Here is a 15,138-nt window from a genome sequence, read left to right on the forward strand (position 1 = left end):
TACTAGTTTATGGTCTCAAGCAAGTTATTTAATCTCAGAGCCTCTGTTTCCTCATTTGTAAAATGGGGATAACAATAGTATTCACCTTATAGGGGAGAATACTGACTCTGAATCCTAGCTTTGACATTTATTAACAGTATGACGTTGAAAAAATTAATCACTGAAGCCACTGTTTCTTCCCCTGTAAAATGAGATAATAATGTACCTCATAGGGTTAAGGTAAAAATGAAGAAATGATATAACAAATATAATGTAAGTAGCACTAAGCCACAATACACATTAATTCTTCTGTAGACAGAAGCCAAGTTCTCCTTGTCTTGTGAATTCTGTGTGTATTCCCACAGGGTAGCAACAGATTCAAAACCTAGAGAAACCACTCGGATCACTGCAGCCTCCGCCTCCCAGGTTCAAACGATTCTCCTGCCTCAGCCTCCTGAGAAGCTGGGACTACAGGCGCCTGCCACTGCGCCTGGCTAATTTTTGTATTTTTTTGGAGACAGGGTTTTGCCATGTTGGTCAGACTGCTCTCAAACTCCTGACCTCAGAAGATCCACCAACCTTGGCCTCTCAAACTGCTGGGATTACAAGCATGAGCCACCGTGCCCAGCCAGAAATCTAATTTTTGACTAATACGAGTTGTAGAAGGAGAGAATAGAGGAAAGGGTGGTGAGGAAATTATCATAAATAATACAAAAGCATTACTCAGAATTAAAGAATATCCTCAGGGCTTGCTACGTACCAACAGAATAAATGAAAAAAGACCCAAGAACAATGGTGATAAAAATAAGATTCTAGGCCGGGAGCGGTGGCTCACGCCTGTAATCACAGCACTTTGGGAGGCTGGGGGTGGGGGCGGATCACGAGGTCAGGAGATCGAGACCATCCTGGCCAACACGGTGAAACCCCCGTCTCTACTAAAAATACAAAAAAAATTAGCCGGGCGTGGTGGCGGGCGCCTGTAGTCCCAGCTACTTAGGAGGCTGAGGCAGGAGAATGGTGTGAACCTGGGAGGCGGAGCTTGCAGTGAGCCAAGATCGCGCCACTGCACTCCAGCCTGGGTGACGGAGCAAGACTCCGTCTCAAAAAAAAAAAAAAAAAAAAAAAAATTCTAAAAGCTTCTGGAGAGAAAACAAGGTATATATAAAAGATTGGGAATAAGAATAGTACCAGAGTATTTAATAGCAATATTGGAAGCTCAAGACAATGGAACAATGCCTTCAAAATTGAGAAAAAATAATTTTTACCCTAGAATGATATACTGTGTCAAACAAATAAGCAAGTATGAACATAGAAAAAAGATGCTTTTAGAAACAGTAAGTCTCAAAAAACTTACGTCCTATGCATTTTTTTATTAGGAAGCTACTGGAGGATATGTTCCACCAAAATGAAGAATCAAATCGAGAAACAATATGACATAGATGAAACACAGAAGAGAACTGACAGGAACTTCCAGGAGAACAAGGTGGAAAGCCCTCAGAGTGTCCTAGGCCCAGACTAAGCTCGACGGAGGGCTCTAAGACGGATGACTCATGAAACCCCATCTCTACTAAAAAGACAAAAAAAAAAATTAGCTGGGCGTGATAGTCCCAGCTACTTGGGAGGCTGAGGCAGGAGCATCGCTTGAACCCAGGAGGTGGAGTTTGCAGTGAGCCGAGATCGCACTACTGCATTCCAGCCTGGCGACAAAGCCGGACTCCTTGTCAAAAAAAGAAAAAAAAAAAAAAAGAAAAAAGAAAAAAAAGATGGATGCCTGCCAGGTTAAAAAGAAAAAACGTAACTGGTAATGTGGAAAATTGTATTGAGAGACATTTTACAAAACTACATTAGGGTTATGAAATGACTTAGCCAATGATGTGAAGAAAAATAAGCAAATTTTAAAACGAGGCATTTCATAAACCCCTAGGAAAAACAAAGTCGTTCAAGAAGGAAATGTTACCCTTGGCTCCAGGGAGAACTATATTTGCATAGTATTAATACTGAAAATACTATAATATGGTTCAGCCAAAAATCATGAAATAATTGTGTTGGGATGGTGGTAGGAAGAAGGAAGGTAAAAGAGCTGTAATTTCCATCATCTATAATAAGAAGCAATAGTTAATATGTAAAATAATAAAAGTTTTAGCAGTATACAAGTAGAATTTAGAAATATCGAGGTGAAAATCAGAGAAACTTCCTTAAGAGTTGAAAGTGGCTGCCTTTGGGGAGAAGATGGGTGGGGTAGAGGAAGAGAATTGCTGGTTTTGAGCATTATTTGGTTTTCTATGTGCTTATGTTATTTTGAGAAAAATATGAATTTCAAACCCAAATGTATAAAAGATATTATGGACAGTGTAGTATAGCAGGAAGAGTTTTAAGTTAGGAATGAAAATTAAAAACTGTTGATTACTTATACCCTGATGTTGGGTAAAACATATCCCTTTTGGCCAGGCGCGGTGGCTCATGCCTGTAATCCCAGCACTCTGGGAGGCCGAGGCGGGCAGATCACCTGTGGTAAGGGGTTTGAGACCACCCTGGCCGACATGGCAAAACCCCGTCTCTACTAAAAATACAAAAATTAGTCTGGGATGGGGCCAGGCGCTGTGGCTCACGCCTGTAATCCCAGCATGTTGGGAGGCCGAGGCGGATGGATCACGAGGTCAGGAGATCGAGACCATCCTGGCTAACACGGTGGAACCCCGTCTCTACTAAAAAATACAAACAAAATTAGCCGGCTGTGGTGGCAGGCTCCTGTAGTCCCAGCTACTCAGGAGGCTAAGGCAGGAGAATGGCAGGAACCCGGGAGGCAAAGCTTGCAGTGAGCCGAGATCGTGCCACTGCACTCCAGCCTGGGCAACAAAGCGAGACTCCGTCTCAAAAAAAAAAAAAAAAATTAGTCTGGCATGGTAGCACGCACCTGTAGTTCCATCTACAGCTACTAGGGAAGCTGAGGAACGAGAATCATTTGAACCTGGGAAACAGAGGTTGCAGTGAACCGAGATTGCACCACTGCACTCCAGCCTGGGCAATAGAGCAAGACTCCGTCTCAAAACCAACCAACCCACTTCTTTGGGTCTCAACTTCTTTATTTATTCACCAGAAGATTTTATTTCTAAGGGTCTTTCCAACTCTAAGGTTCTGATCCCAACATAATATTTTTCTAGGAATAGTAAAGAAAGAGAAACTTTCCTCCACGCTTTCATGGTGTACCTTTATGTATTTTTGTTCACTTTGGCAAAGGTCTCCCTATCTTTGCTTCCTTAATGTTAAAATGGAACTACCATGTCCCCAACATGGGAATCCCATCATACTTGTGAGGCTAGTCTTCGCATAGCCTCCTGCGCATTTCCAGAGTTCCTGGGCAGCTTCCGCTGGTGATAGATGAGTGGGCTGAAGGTGGCTGTGTGAGTGGCAGCTCTCTGTTGGCATCCACATCTGGATCAAAAAGATTTAGATGGTTGCATCAGATAATCATAAAACTTTAAAGGAAAAATGACTAAATTCCATTTGTTCTATGATCCAGCAATACTGCTCCTAAGACTATACCTACGAGAAATAAAAACACGTGTCCACCCAAAAACGTGTACACAAATGTTCTTAGAAGAATGATTCATAATAGCCAAAAGTGGAAACAACCTAAATGCCCACCAACTGATGACTAGATAAAACACAGTATACCCACTCAATAACTATTACTCAGCAATAAAAAGAAATAAGATACCGATACATGCTAGAACGGGGATAACCCTTGAAAATGTTATGCTAAGTCAAAGAAGCTAGTAACAAAACAAAACAAAACATATCTTGTATGATTCTATTTATATGAAATGTCCAGAATAGGAAAATCCGTAGAGACAGAAAGTAAATTAGTGGTTACCTAGGGCTAGAAATAGAGGGTTAAGAGGAGAATGGGCATTGGCTGCTAACAGGCATGAGTTTCTTTTAGGGGGATGAAAATGGTCTAAAGCTGGATTACGGTGATTGCTGTACAACCCTGTGAGTTATACTAAAAATGCTGAATTGAATACTTTAAATGGGTGAATTACATGGTATGTGAATTATAGCTCAATAAAACTGTTGAAGATTTTTTTGAAAAAAATTCAATTTGTTCTTGTTATTTAGAAAATGTATTCTTACTAGTAGAAATTATAGACTATATTTATGAATAAGATCATACTTTAAAAATGGATACCAAAGTAAATATTAGAAGTTGTTATTTGATGGCCAATAGCTATTGAAAAGAAGGAGGAATAGGAAAAAGTAGTCCTCATTTAACTCCCTACCAGTAGGAGTGAATTTAGACTTCTTTCATTCAACTGGTACATTAAATTCCTTGGTCACTGAATAGAGTTCTGGATAACTGCAGGGGGGTGGATATGGGAGATGGCAGGAACAAAAGCCTAAAGTAATGTGTGACATTTTGAGTTGAGGTGAAGTTCAGTGATCGTATGTCATGTATTATTTCTGCTCTTCCCTTCCTCCTCCTACTGTATTCCCCTTTATCTGGTATTTGATTTTGTGGGTAATTACTGTCTTCACCTCTGAATTAATAGTCCTCACATGGGCTGGGTGCGGTGTCTCACGCCTGTAATCCCAGCACTTTGGGAGGTTGAGGCCAGCAGATCGTGAGGTCAGGAGATTGAGACCATCCTGGCTAACACAGTGAAACCCCATCTCTACTAAAAATACAAAAAAAAAAAATTAGCCAGGCATGGTGGCGGGCGCCTGTAGTCCCAGCTACTCGGGAGGCTGAGGCAGGAGAATGGCATGAACCTAGGAGGTGGAGCTTGCAGTGAGCCGAGATCGCGCCACTGCACTCCAGCCTGGGCGAAAGAGCGAGACTCCGTTTCAAAAAAAAAAAAAAAAAAACAAAAAAACAAAAAACACAAAAGGTCCTCACGTGGAAGTCAGGTTTTACAGATCAGGAAATAAAAGGATGTATGACTTAATATAAATATGTCAGAAAAACTTCAGTGCCAATGAAGCAGGGAGTTATTTAAAAAGGAAATATACATTTGGGGGAGGCACGTGGGCTGTCTGAGGTGATCTGTCTCATCTTTGTACCATGGCAGCTGAGGGCCACCAGTCTGGAGATGGTGGCAGTTTTGCAGAATCCAGCGTTTCCCACAATCACTACTCCGTGGTTCACGCTGGCATTTGAACGTTGAAGTTGAGCATCTATTTCGTGGAAAACCCAATCTTGGCCGACAGACACTGACTCTGTAGTGATGCTGGTACTTCAAAGAGAAGAGGCTTCAAGGAGATATCTGGAGGCCTATGAGGTGCAAAGCGAACTGAGAGGAACAAGAGAATACAGAACTTAGGTCACACTGTCAACATTGAGAGAAATAGAGAAAAAAATGCAGTGTGGTTTAGGAGACTGAGTTACAGTATGATGGCATCCTGGGCTTATTCAGAAATAATGCAACTCTGAATGTTGATTCTATACAGATAAGTAACACAGGTGAGCTAGAGCTATTTGATACTCTAGATTGCAGAACACAAACATTGATAAGATAGTAACGATTTACTCTATTAGTCAGAAAGTCAGGGTGATATTCAAAATTGTTACATGGAAGGGATGACCCAAGCACCAGCAATCAGTATGGATGCAAGCCTAGTGAAGAAGAAGGGTCCTAAAGGCCTCCTGCTATGCCTCGGGATAACCTTTTAATTATTGGATTGTGGGGAGGTACAGCAATGAAGTGCCTGTTGGAAAGGCGAGGCTGTGGCGGGCATGCAGAGAGCTTACAACGGCGGCTCTTTACCAACCAGTAAGAACATATTTCGGTATTTAGCAACCAATATGGCTACACCCGTATATATCAGTTGAAAATCAGTTCTGAAGAAAGCAGTATAGAGAGGCTTGTTTGTTTCTTTAAAAACACCAATGAGAATAGTAATTCCTTTAAGTTCATGGATGGTATTTTTAAAAATCTAGTAGGTGTATTGTTAAGAGAAGCAGACTTTAAAAGCTCGGATGGTTTAAAAGATCTTAAACATGTTAAGCAGTCGGGCAGAAAGCAGGCCTTCACTCACTGTCTTTGCACCTGTACTGCTTATATTGTTTGCAAAAGAGCATCACTAAGAAGCTTAATAAGGATTAATGACATACATGACCCTGGACCATGGACAGAGGATAAAAATCAAGCTTTGATAGCAATAAACATAGTCTCTTTTTATCTCTAAACAGACAGAAATACTATGCAGGTATCCCTTCTTTGGTAACAGGGCTGGTTACCAAGTTAGTTATTTTGTAATTAGTGAAGAGTTGGGGCATTTCTGATATGTGCTTACTTAGTGTAAACATTTCTAGCTCTACCACTTAACCATCATTTTAAACATCTGTTTTAATATAACAATTCCTGAAATGAAATCCTCAATACCAGTCTATTCTCTTGGTAGCGTTAATATTATTTATGTATTTCAGCTGCTTAATCTTCAATATTTATTTATTTATTTTATTATTATTATATTTTGCGACACAGTCTCACTCTGTTGTCCAGGCTGGAGTGCAGTGGCACGATCTTAGCTCACTACAACCTCCGCCTCCCAAATTCAAGCAATTCTCCTGCCTCAACTTCCTGAGTAGCTGGGATTATAGGCACGCACCACCATACCTGGCTAATTTTTGTATTTTTAGTAGAGATGGGGTTTCACCATGTTGGCCAGGCTGGTCTCCAACTCTTGACCTCTGATCCACCTGCCTTGGCTCCAAAAGTGCTGGGATTATAGGCATGAGCCACTGGGACTGGCCTATTTAATATTTAAATGTTAATTTAATTCAGATTAAATTACCAAAAAATTCTGGATTAATGATGTTGAAATTAATGTGGGTGGTCTGTATTTTCTTCTCCTTTAGGCAACAATCCGGAGTTAACTTTAATTCCTTTCATTTTACTAAACCAACTTTTTCAAATCTTTTTTTGGGAAGGTCAGATAGTAAATATTTTAGGCTTTGTGGGCCACATGTGGTCTCTGTTGCTTATTTCTTTTTGTTTCTTTGCTTTTTCTATCACAGTTCTTCAAAAATGTAAAAACCATTCTTAATGGGCTATTTAAAAATAGACCATAAATTAGATTTGCTCTATTGGTTGTAGAGTGAATATAAGAAGATGGTACGTGAACACTTTTTATAAAACAAGGTTCATATGGGTGTCAGTCACTGCTCAGATCTTATTACCATGTGAAATATTTCTCCGTATTTTGTCTATATAGTTTAAAAATTGAAAATGCATAGGAGGTAGTTAATGCTAGAGATGGGTGGAGACCCTGTAGAAACTTACAGAATTGCAGAATTTTATTGCTGGAAGAAATCTTAGAGATTATTTAATATAAATCCCTTATTAATTTTACAGATAATATGACTAAAGGCCGGGCGCCGTGGCTCACGCCTGTAATCTCAGCACTTTGGGAGGCTGAGGCAGGCGGATCACGAGGTCAGAAGATCGAGACCATGCTGACTAACATGGTGAAACCCCGTCTCTACTAAAAATACAAAAAATTAGCTGGGCGTGGTGGCGGGCGCCTATAGTCCCAGCTACTCGGGAGGTTGAGGCAGGAGAATGGCGTGAACCTGGAAGACGGAGCTTGTAGTGAGCTGAGATCGCGTCACTGCACTCCAGACTGGGCGACAGAGCGAGACTCCGTCTCAAAAAAAAATAATAATAATAATAATATGACTAAAAGCTTGTAAACTCGTAAATATGATTAACTAACTAACTTACAAATCCTGGAGGGATAGCAGGCCTTCAAATGAATTCTTACGTAATTCAAAGAATTTTCACTGAGAATTCTGAAAAATGAAACAGTTATGGCTAGATCAAAATGCAAACTACAACTATTTGCTACACAGGACTAACTCCTGTATGTGGAGGAAAGCCGGGTAATGGTAATTTCTTTTTTTCTTTCTTTCCTTCCTTCCGTCTTTCTTTCTTTCTCTCTCTCTCTTTCTTTCTTTTCTTTCTCTCTTTCTTTCTTTTTTTTTTCTGAGACAGAGTTTCCCTCCATTGCACTCCATCACCCAGGCTAGAGTGCAATGGTGCAATCTTGGCTCACTGCAGCCTCTGCCTCCCAGGTTCAAATGATTCTCATCTCTCAGCTTCCTGGGTAGCTGGGATTGCAGGTATGCACCACCAGGCCCAATTAATTCTGTATTTTTAGTAGAGACATCACACCTGGCTAATTTTTTCTTTTTTCTTTTTTTTTGAGATGGAGTCTCGCTCTGTCGCCAGGCTGGAGTACAGTGGCATGATCTCCGCTCACTGCAACCTCCGCCTCCTGGGTTCAAGTGATTCTCCTGCCTCAGCCTCCTGAGTAGCTGGGATTACAGGCATATGCCACCACGCCTAGCTAATTTTTGTGTTTTTTTTTTTAGTAGAGACGGGGTTTCAACATGTTGGCCAGGATGGTTTCTATCTCCTGACCTCATGATCTGCCCGCCTCAGCCTTCCAAAGTGCTGGGATTACAGGCGTGAGCCACTGCGCCCGGCCTAATGTTTGTATTTTTAGTAGACACGGGGTTTTACCATATTGGCCAGACTGGTCACAAACTCCTGACCTCAGGTGATCCTCCCACCTCGGTCTTTCAAAGTGTTGGGATTTCAGGTATGAGCCACTGTGCCCAGCCCACAAACTTTCTGTTAGGTTTAGCCAACCCTTAGGCCAAGGCCACAAAAAATAGGAACTCCCTAAATGCCTGTTGCTGGTTCCAGTTTTCAGTGTGCCTCTGACATCTGTCCATTTTTGTGTAGTCACCCAAGTTCTCAGTTATATTTTAAATTTTTGTCTAGAGTTGATGGCTTTGACTTGCAGAATGGTCCGTTTGTTAAGTGTGTGAGGGGCTCAGTTTCCCATGCTGGAAGCGACAAGTTTAATATGAACTTTAATCATCAGATTCTTATTAATTTTTTTTTCCAGAGGGAGTCTTGTTCTGTTGCCCAGGATGGAGTGCAATGGCACGATCTCGGCTCACTGCAACCTCTGCCTCCCAGGCTCAAGCGATTCTCCTGCCTCAGCCTCCCAAGTAGCTAGGATTACAGGCACCCACCACCATGCCCAGCTAATTTTTGTATTTTTAGTGGAGACAGGGTTTCACCATGTTGTATACATGTTGGTCAGGCTGGTCTCAAACTCCTGACCTCAGATGAACCACCCACCTCTGCCTCCCAAAGAAAATTGTTCTTCTTGGTGGGTCCTATCAAACAGTACAAAGGTGTTTTGTGTACTCCTCGCCATCACTTTTACTCTGCTCTATTCTTCGTTATAGAACCTGATGATGTGTATGTTTGTGCGTGGTCTCTCTTCCCACTTTTAGTGGGAAGGAAAGCTCCTTGAAAGCACTGTGCCCTCACTGTGTACTGAATACCTCAGCTCTCTTCAAAAGGGGAGAATACAAGGAGAGGTGGGAAGGTGGAAGGTGTGCACACCAGGAAGGGGCTATCTCAGCAACTAGGCTTATGTACGAGCCAGCCCAATGAGCTCACAGAGAGATAAGTCATTGTGGCTTTTAACCACTGGGTGGCGCTGCTCACTAATTTTCCTAAAATCATGTCAAGACAGCAATTGCTTTTCAGCAACTCAATCCAGAACTCCAAGACCTAAATCCACACTCCAGGACCTGGCTTAAACTGCCATCTCGGTGGAGACACATCCCTGCACTGATCCCCTCACTCACAGCCAAGGGGCCCTATCACATTGACTTCCAACCCCTGCCCCCATGCCTAAGTGTGAAATTCATGATTAGACATTTAGTGAGGCCCCCCAGGTACAAAGGGCCCTGGATGGGAACAGGGTAAATTCGAAGACGTGGCCCCTGCCCTGAGACAGGCTTTTTGAACTGGCTTAAGATAAGCAGTAGATGTAATGGGTTAACCTCCCTCCTGTGCATCCAGAGTGGTGTTGGTTATGCATCATCCTAGGAGAACTGAGAAAGCAGTCACAAGTTGTCTGTGTTCTGTGGCTCGGATGAGAAACCTCACGCATATGATCTGGAGGGGACAGGGAGGATTCCTTGTTTTTTTTTTTTCTTTGGAGACAGAGTTTCAAGTGCAGTGGTGCAATCTTGGCTCACGGCAAGCTCCACCTCCTGGCTAAATAGAGATGGAGAACTTAAGAGACTTCATAGGAAGATTACATTTGCTGTAGCAAGTTGACTGAAACTGATGTTAAGAGTCCTGACCAGTTAGACATTAACCATATTTATGACTACCTTCTCATGGTAATTAGTTATCTGCAGTCTCCTGGAATTCCCTGCAAAAGACAATTCTGCCAACATTGAAGAGGTGCCACATTATGAAAAAAAATGTATCTTTGAAAACTGCAGTAAAGCAAAAAATTACTATGGTTTTTTACTATCTCTTTGAACTTTTTTTTTTTTTTTTTTGAGACAGAGTTTCACTCTTGTTGCCCAGGCTACTGGAGTGCAATGGTGCGACCGTGGCTCACCGCAACCTCCACCTCCCGGGTTCAAGCAATTCTTCTGCCTCAGCCTCCTGAGTAGCTGGGATTAGAGGCATGTGCCACCATGCCTGGCTAATTTTGTATTTTTAGTAGAGAGAGGTTTTCTCCATGTTGGTCAGGCTGGTCTTGAACTCCTGACCTCAGGTGATCTGCCCACTTCGGCTTCCCAAAGCTCTGGAATTACAGGTGTGAACCACTGCGCCCGGCTAAGACTCATTTTTTGATCAGAATGCAAGGGAGGAGCGAGGGGGAAGTTCTGAGTGTGTGCTAGGGGTGGAAATAACTGTTTCTTGATTCAAGTGATTTCTTGATTCTTTTGCTCATTACATGATTCCTTTTCCATCAGCATTTGTGTTGTAGTTGTGGGAACCGATAAGTGTCACCTGACTCTGTCTTGCCTCTTCCAGCAAGAACTTGCAAGACAGAAGCAGCGTTTCTCTGGCAAGGGAACCCATAAGCACCCAATCTCTGCTGTGAGCCAGGTCCAATACTAGGCACTTTACTTATGTTAACCAGTGTAATTCTCCCAATAACCTGTAATTGTTGGTGTTTCCATCTCCATTTTTTTTTTTTTTCGAGATGGAGTCTCGGTCTGTCACCCAGGCTGGAGTGCAGTGACATGATCTCGGCTTGCTGCAAGCTCCAGCACCTGGGTTCAAGGGATTCTCCTGCCTCAGCCTCCTGAGTAGCTGGAATTACAGGCATGCACCACCACGCCCAGCTAATTTTTGTATTTTTAGTAGAGATGGGGTTTCACCATGTTGGCCAGGATGGTCTCAAGCTCCTGACCTCAGGTGATCCTCCCACCTCGGCCTCTCAAAGTGCTGGGGTTACAAACAAGAGCCACTGCGCCGGCCAGGAAGCAAAATAATTGATGGCACTTTTGAGGACTCCAGGAAGGAGGGCAGTCCTGCCGCTCATTGCACAGCCTCTATCCCCTTCTCCAGCCCTCTGTCTCCCTCCCCTCTGGCTCTCAGGGGCAAAGCTGTTTCTCCTGGTTTGCTTGGAACAACTTCAGCCCTTCCTGTGAAGTCTCAGCTCCATGTCCTGGGGGAGTGTCCTTCCTTAACCAGGGTTGCCAATTCATTTTCTTAACAAAGGTTATTTCCTCCATGATAGGAATTCCTGCTTTAGCTGCTAAGAGATTAATACTGTTTTCCATTTTATTATGATGTTTGTTCCAGATCCTGTACCAGAAGCTGGCAGTTGTCACAGCAGCCCTGTAAGGTATCAGCGCCATTTTGCAGAAGAGGAAACTGGGCTCATAAATACCAGGCTCTGGAGAGATTTGAGGTCCCTTTCTGCATTTGCCCATTCCTTCTTCAAAGTCTCCTTGGCGAGAATCAAAGATACATGAATGGAGGCCAGGCTCTCCAGGGAGACCAGGTCATGCAAAAGGAGGTCTCAGGCTTTGAACTATTGCTTCTTTAGTCAGATGACCCCAATCTTTCATATATTCATACCAGCCTCAGGCTTGTGTAGATCAGAGGTTTCTTCTTTTTAAAGTATAGCCTCCAGTTCTAGTGCCAGATCTTCTGTAATTTGTAGCATGACCTTTGCTAAATCGCTTTCCATCTCTGGCCTTTAATTCCCTTATCTTCATAATGACAGAAAGCTCCTTTCTGTCTTATGTTCTGTGGTCCTAGAAAAAAGTCAGATTCTGGAACAATAAGGCCTATTGAGCACTTATCTGCTAAGCACTCTCTCACATTGCCTTTTCATCCTTTCAACACTGGGGGGTAGGTATCATAATTGATCTATTTTACAGATGAGGAAACCAAGGCTTAGGAGGATTAGTAGTTACCCAAGACCTCACAGTGAGTGACAGAGTTGGGACTCAAACATAGATGGTCTGTCAGAGTCTGAGTGTGGAGATAATACTCTTTTTGTTTTTAAATAAAAGATATGGGGTCTTCTTGCTATGTCGCCCAGGCTGGAGTGCAGTGGCTATTCACAGGCATAATCATGGCACATGACAGCCTCGAACTCCTGGGCTCAAGTGATCCTCCTGCCTCAGCCTCCTGAGTTACTGGGACTATAGGCATGCACCACTGCACCTGGCTTGGAGACAGTGCTTTTAAACCATTGCATCAGCTGTGTCCCCAAGTGCCAGCTCAGGCTGCTGATGACTCTCAATAGTTGCTCTCACACGTGCAAGCACATGTATGCTCTCATGGGAAGAAAATATGTGTTCATGCGGCCCATCCGAGAAAGACTAATAATATTTCAAACAGGCCTGCTGAAACCAGCCGCAGGACATCTGGTCATCTGCTTCAAGGATTCATGGTGTCTAAGACGGCTGTGTAGAAAGAGGACATGCGAGCCGTCCTCTGTGACTCCCAGTAAAATGCTCTTTGTAGTATCCAGAGTTGTTCTCTCATTTTCTTCCCTTCCTGTTCCAGTTGGTTCCCCCATGTACCCAGCCACCTGTATTCTACAAGGCAAAAGGTCAGTCATACAAGTTGTTCAAGAAAAGGTTTATTTGCTTTAGGATGACCACAGCTGGAAAACTCTGTATATCAGAATGACCGAAGTCCTTTCTGTATTTGTGTGTGTTTAAGGTCAGCCATCTATCTGCCTGCCTTGAAAAGACTGGGAATATCCTTCTTGAAAAGCAACTGAATGCACGTGAGAAAAGCTCTTCCAGTTCTGAACCATCAGAAGTTTCTGGCAGGCTTTTTATTATGTGCTAGGGTGGGGATTTGACTTTGTGTATATAGACTCTCGATTACTCAGGTTTTCAGACTGACACCTCAGTGCTCCTGAATTTAAAAACAAAACAAAACAAAACACAAGACAACGACATTCTGTTCCAGCTTGCCAGAACCCCGGCCCTGAGCTTCCTGTTTTTAGCCTTGTCCTGTTTTTTAGGCCTTTGAACTCTGACTCCCTGGCTTTGACCCTGGTGCTGGCTAAGGACTTTGAAACTTCTTGCCGCATCTGATGTTGTCCTGACTTTTCTGTCAACCTAGGCCCTGCCGGCCTCACTCCCACCCCCATGTTTGCTTTGGCCTCTGCAAGCAAAGGTCTGGGCCTGACTACATTGTATGTTATTGATTCTGTCATCCCCAGGCTGGGAGCTCCTGGAGGAAGGAGTTTGATCATATTTAGCTGTAACCCCTGATAGCAAGGAGGGTGGAGAGAAATTCCTGGATCAAGGAGCAGGGACTCACAGTCCAGGGAGGGACCAAAGCAGGTAGCACTGCCTCTGTGGAGGAGCAAGAGCAGCAAGCACATGGGGCTCCTCTGAGTCAATGCCCGGGTGATTGATGGGTTGTTGCCCAAGTTCAGGTGCTTTTGGTGCAAGTGACAGAAACCAAGATCTGCAAACTCTGGCTAGCAAGAAAAGAGAGATACCCACACGTCCATCAGCAGATTAGCTGGATAAACGAAATGTGGCAGATACATACAATGGAATGTTAGCCTAATGACTAACAGGAATAACGTTCTGAAGCATGCTACAACTTGGATGAACCTTGACGACACTATGCTGGTGAAATAAGCTAGTCACAAAAGGACAAATGCTATGTGATTCCCCTTACATGAAATACCTAGAGCTGTCAAATTCATAGTGACAGAAAGAAGAATAGTGGTTACCAGAGGCTGGGGGAGGAGAGAATGGTGAGTTAGCATTTAATGGGTACAGAGTCTCAGGTTGGGACAATGAGAAAAGTCTGGAGATGGATAGTGGTGATGTTTGCCTAACAAAGTGAATGTAGGATTGTACACATAAAAATGTTTAGAATGGTAAATTTTGTCTATATATATATATATATATATACACACACACATACACACATACACACACACACACACACCTATATATATATATGTATTTTTAGGCAGAGTCTTGCTCTGTCATCCAGCCTGGAGTGCAGTGGTGATATTATGGCTCACTGCAGTGCAGTCTCAACCTCCTGGGCTCAAGCAATCCTCCTACCTCAGCCTTCTGAGTACCTGTGACCACAGGCACACACCACCGTGCCCAGTTAATTGTTTTTTTTTTGTAGAGATTAAAAAATATGTAAGATCTCACCATACCGCCCAGGCTGATCTCAAATTCCTGGACTCAAATGATCCTCCTGCTTCAGCCTCCCAAAGTGCTGGGTTTATAGGCATAAGCCACTGTGCATGGCCTTGTTATGTGTGTACACACACACACACACACACACACACACACACACACATGTTTTTTGAGACAGGGTCTCATTCTGTCACCCAGGCTGGAGTGCAGTGGCACGATTTCAGCTGACTCCCCAGCTCAAGGGATCCTCCTGCCTCAGCCTCCTGAGCAGCTGGGACCATAGGCCCAGGCCACCATGCTCGGCTAATTTTTTTTTTTTTTTTGTATTTTTGGTAGAAGTGGGGTTTCGCCATGCTGCCCAGGCTGGTCTCGAACTCCTGGCCTCAAGTGATCCGCCCACCTCAGACTCTGGAAGTGCTGGGATTACAGGCGTTAGCCACCTTGCCCAGCCCCTGTTATGTCTATTTTAACACACATACATCCATCATCCCCCGCCAAGAACTGACCTAAACCAATAAGTTATTCCTGAGGTGCTAAATTGCCACCATGGCCCTTTAGGAATTTTTTTTTTAAATTGAGATGGAGTCTCGCTCTGTTGCCCAGGCTGGAGTGTAGTGGCATGATCTCAGCTCACTGCAACCTCTGCCTCCTGGGTTCAAGCGATTCTCATGCCTCAG

General features: G+C 43.3%; 1 annotated feature.

Moving 5' to 3' along the window:
* Window positions 799-1,017: a silencer, noted in NCBI's record as "fragment chr17:34288003-34288221 (GRCh37/hg19 assembly coordinates)". NCBI's record gives its function as "represses an EF-1alpha promoter that drives an FKBP-Casp9 reporter gene in an ReSE screen in K562 erythroleukemia cells {active_cell/tissue: K562}" and the evidence as "EXISTENCE:reporter gene assay evidence [ECO:0000049][PMID:32094911]".

The sequence above is a fragment of the Homo sapiens genome, chromosome 17 (genome assembly GCF_000001405.40).
Source record: "Homo sapiens chromosome 17, GRCh38.p14 Primary Assembly".
Lineage (NCBI taxonomy): Eukaryota > Metazoa > Chordata > Mammalia > Primates > Hominidae > Homo > Homo sapiens.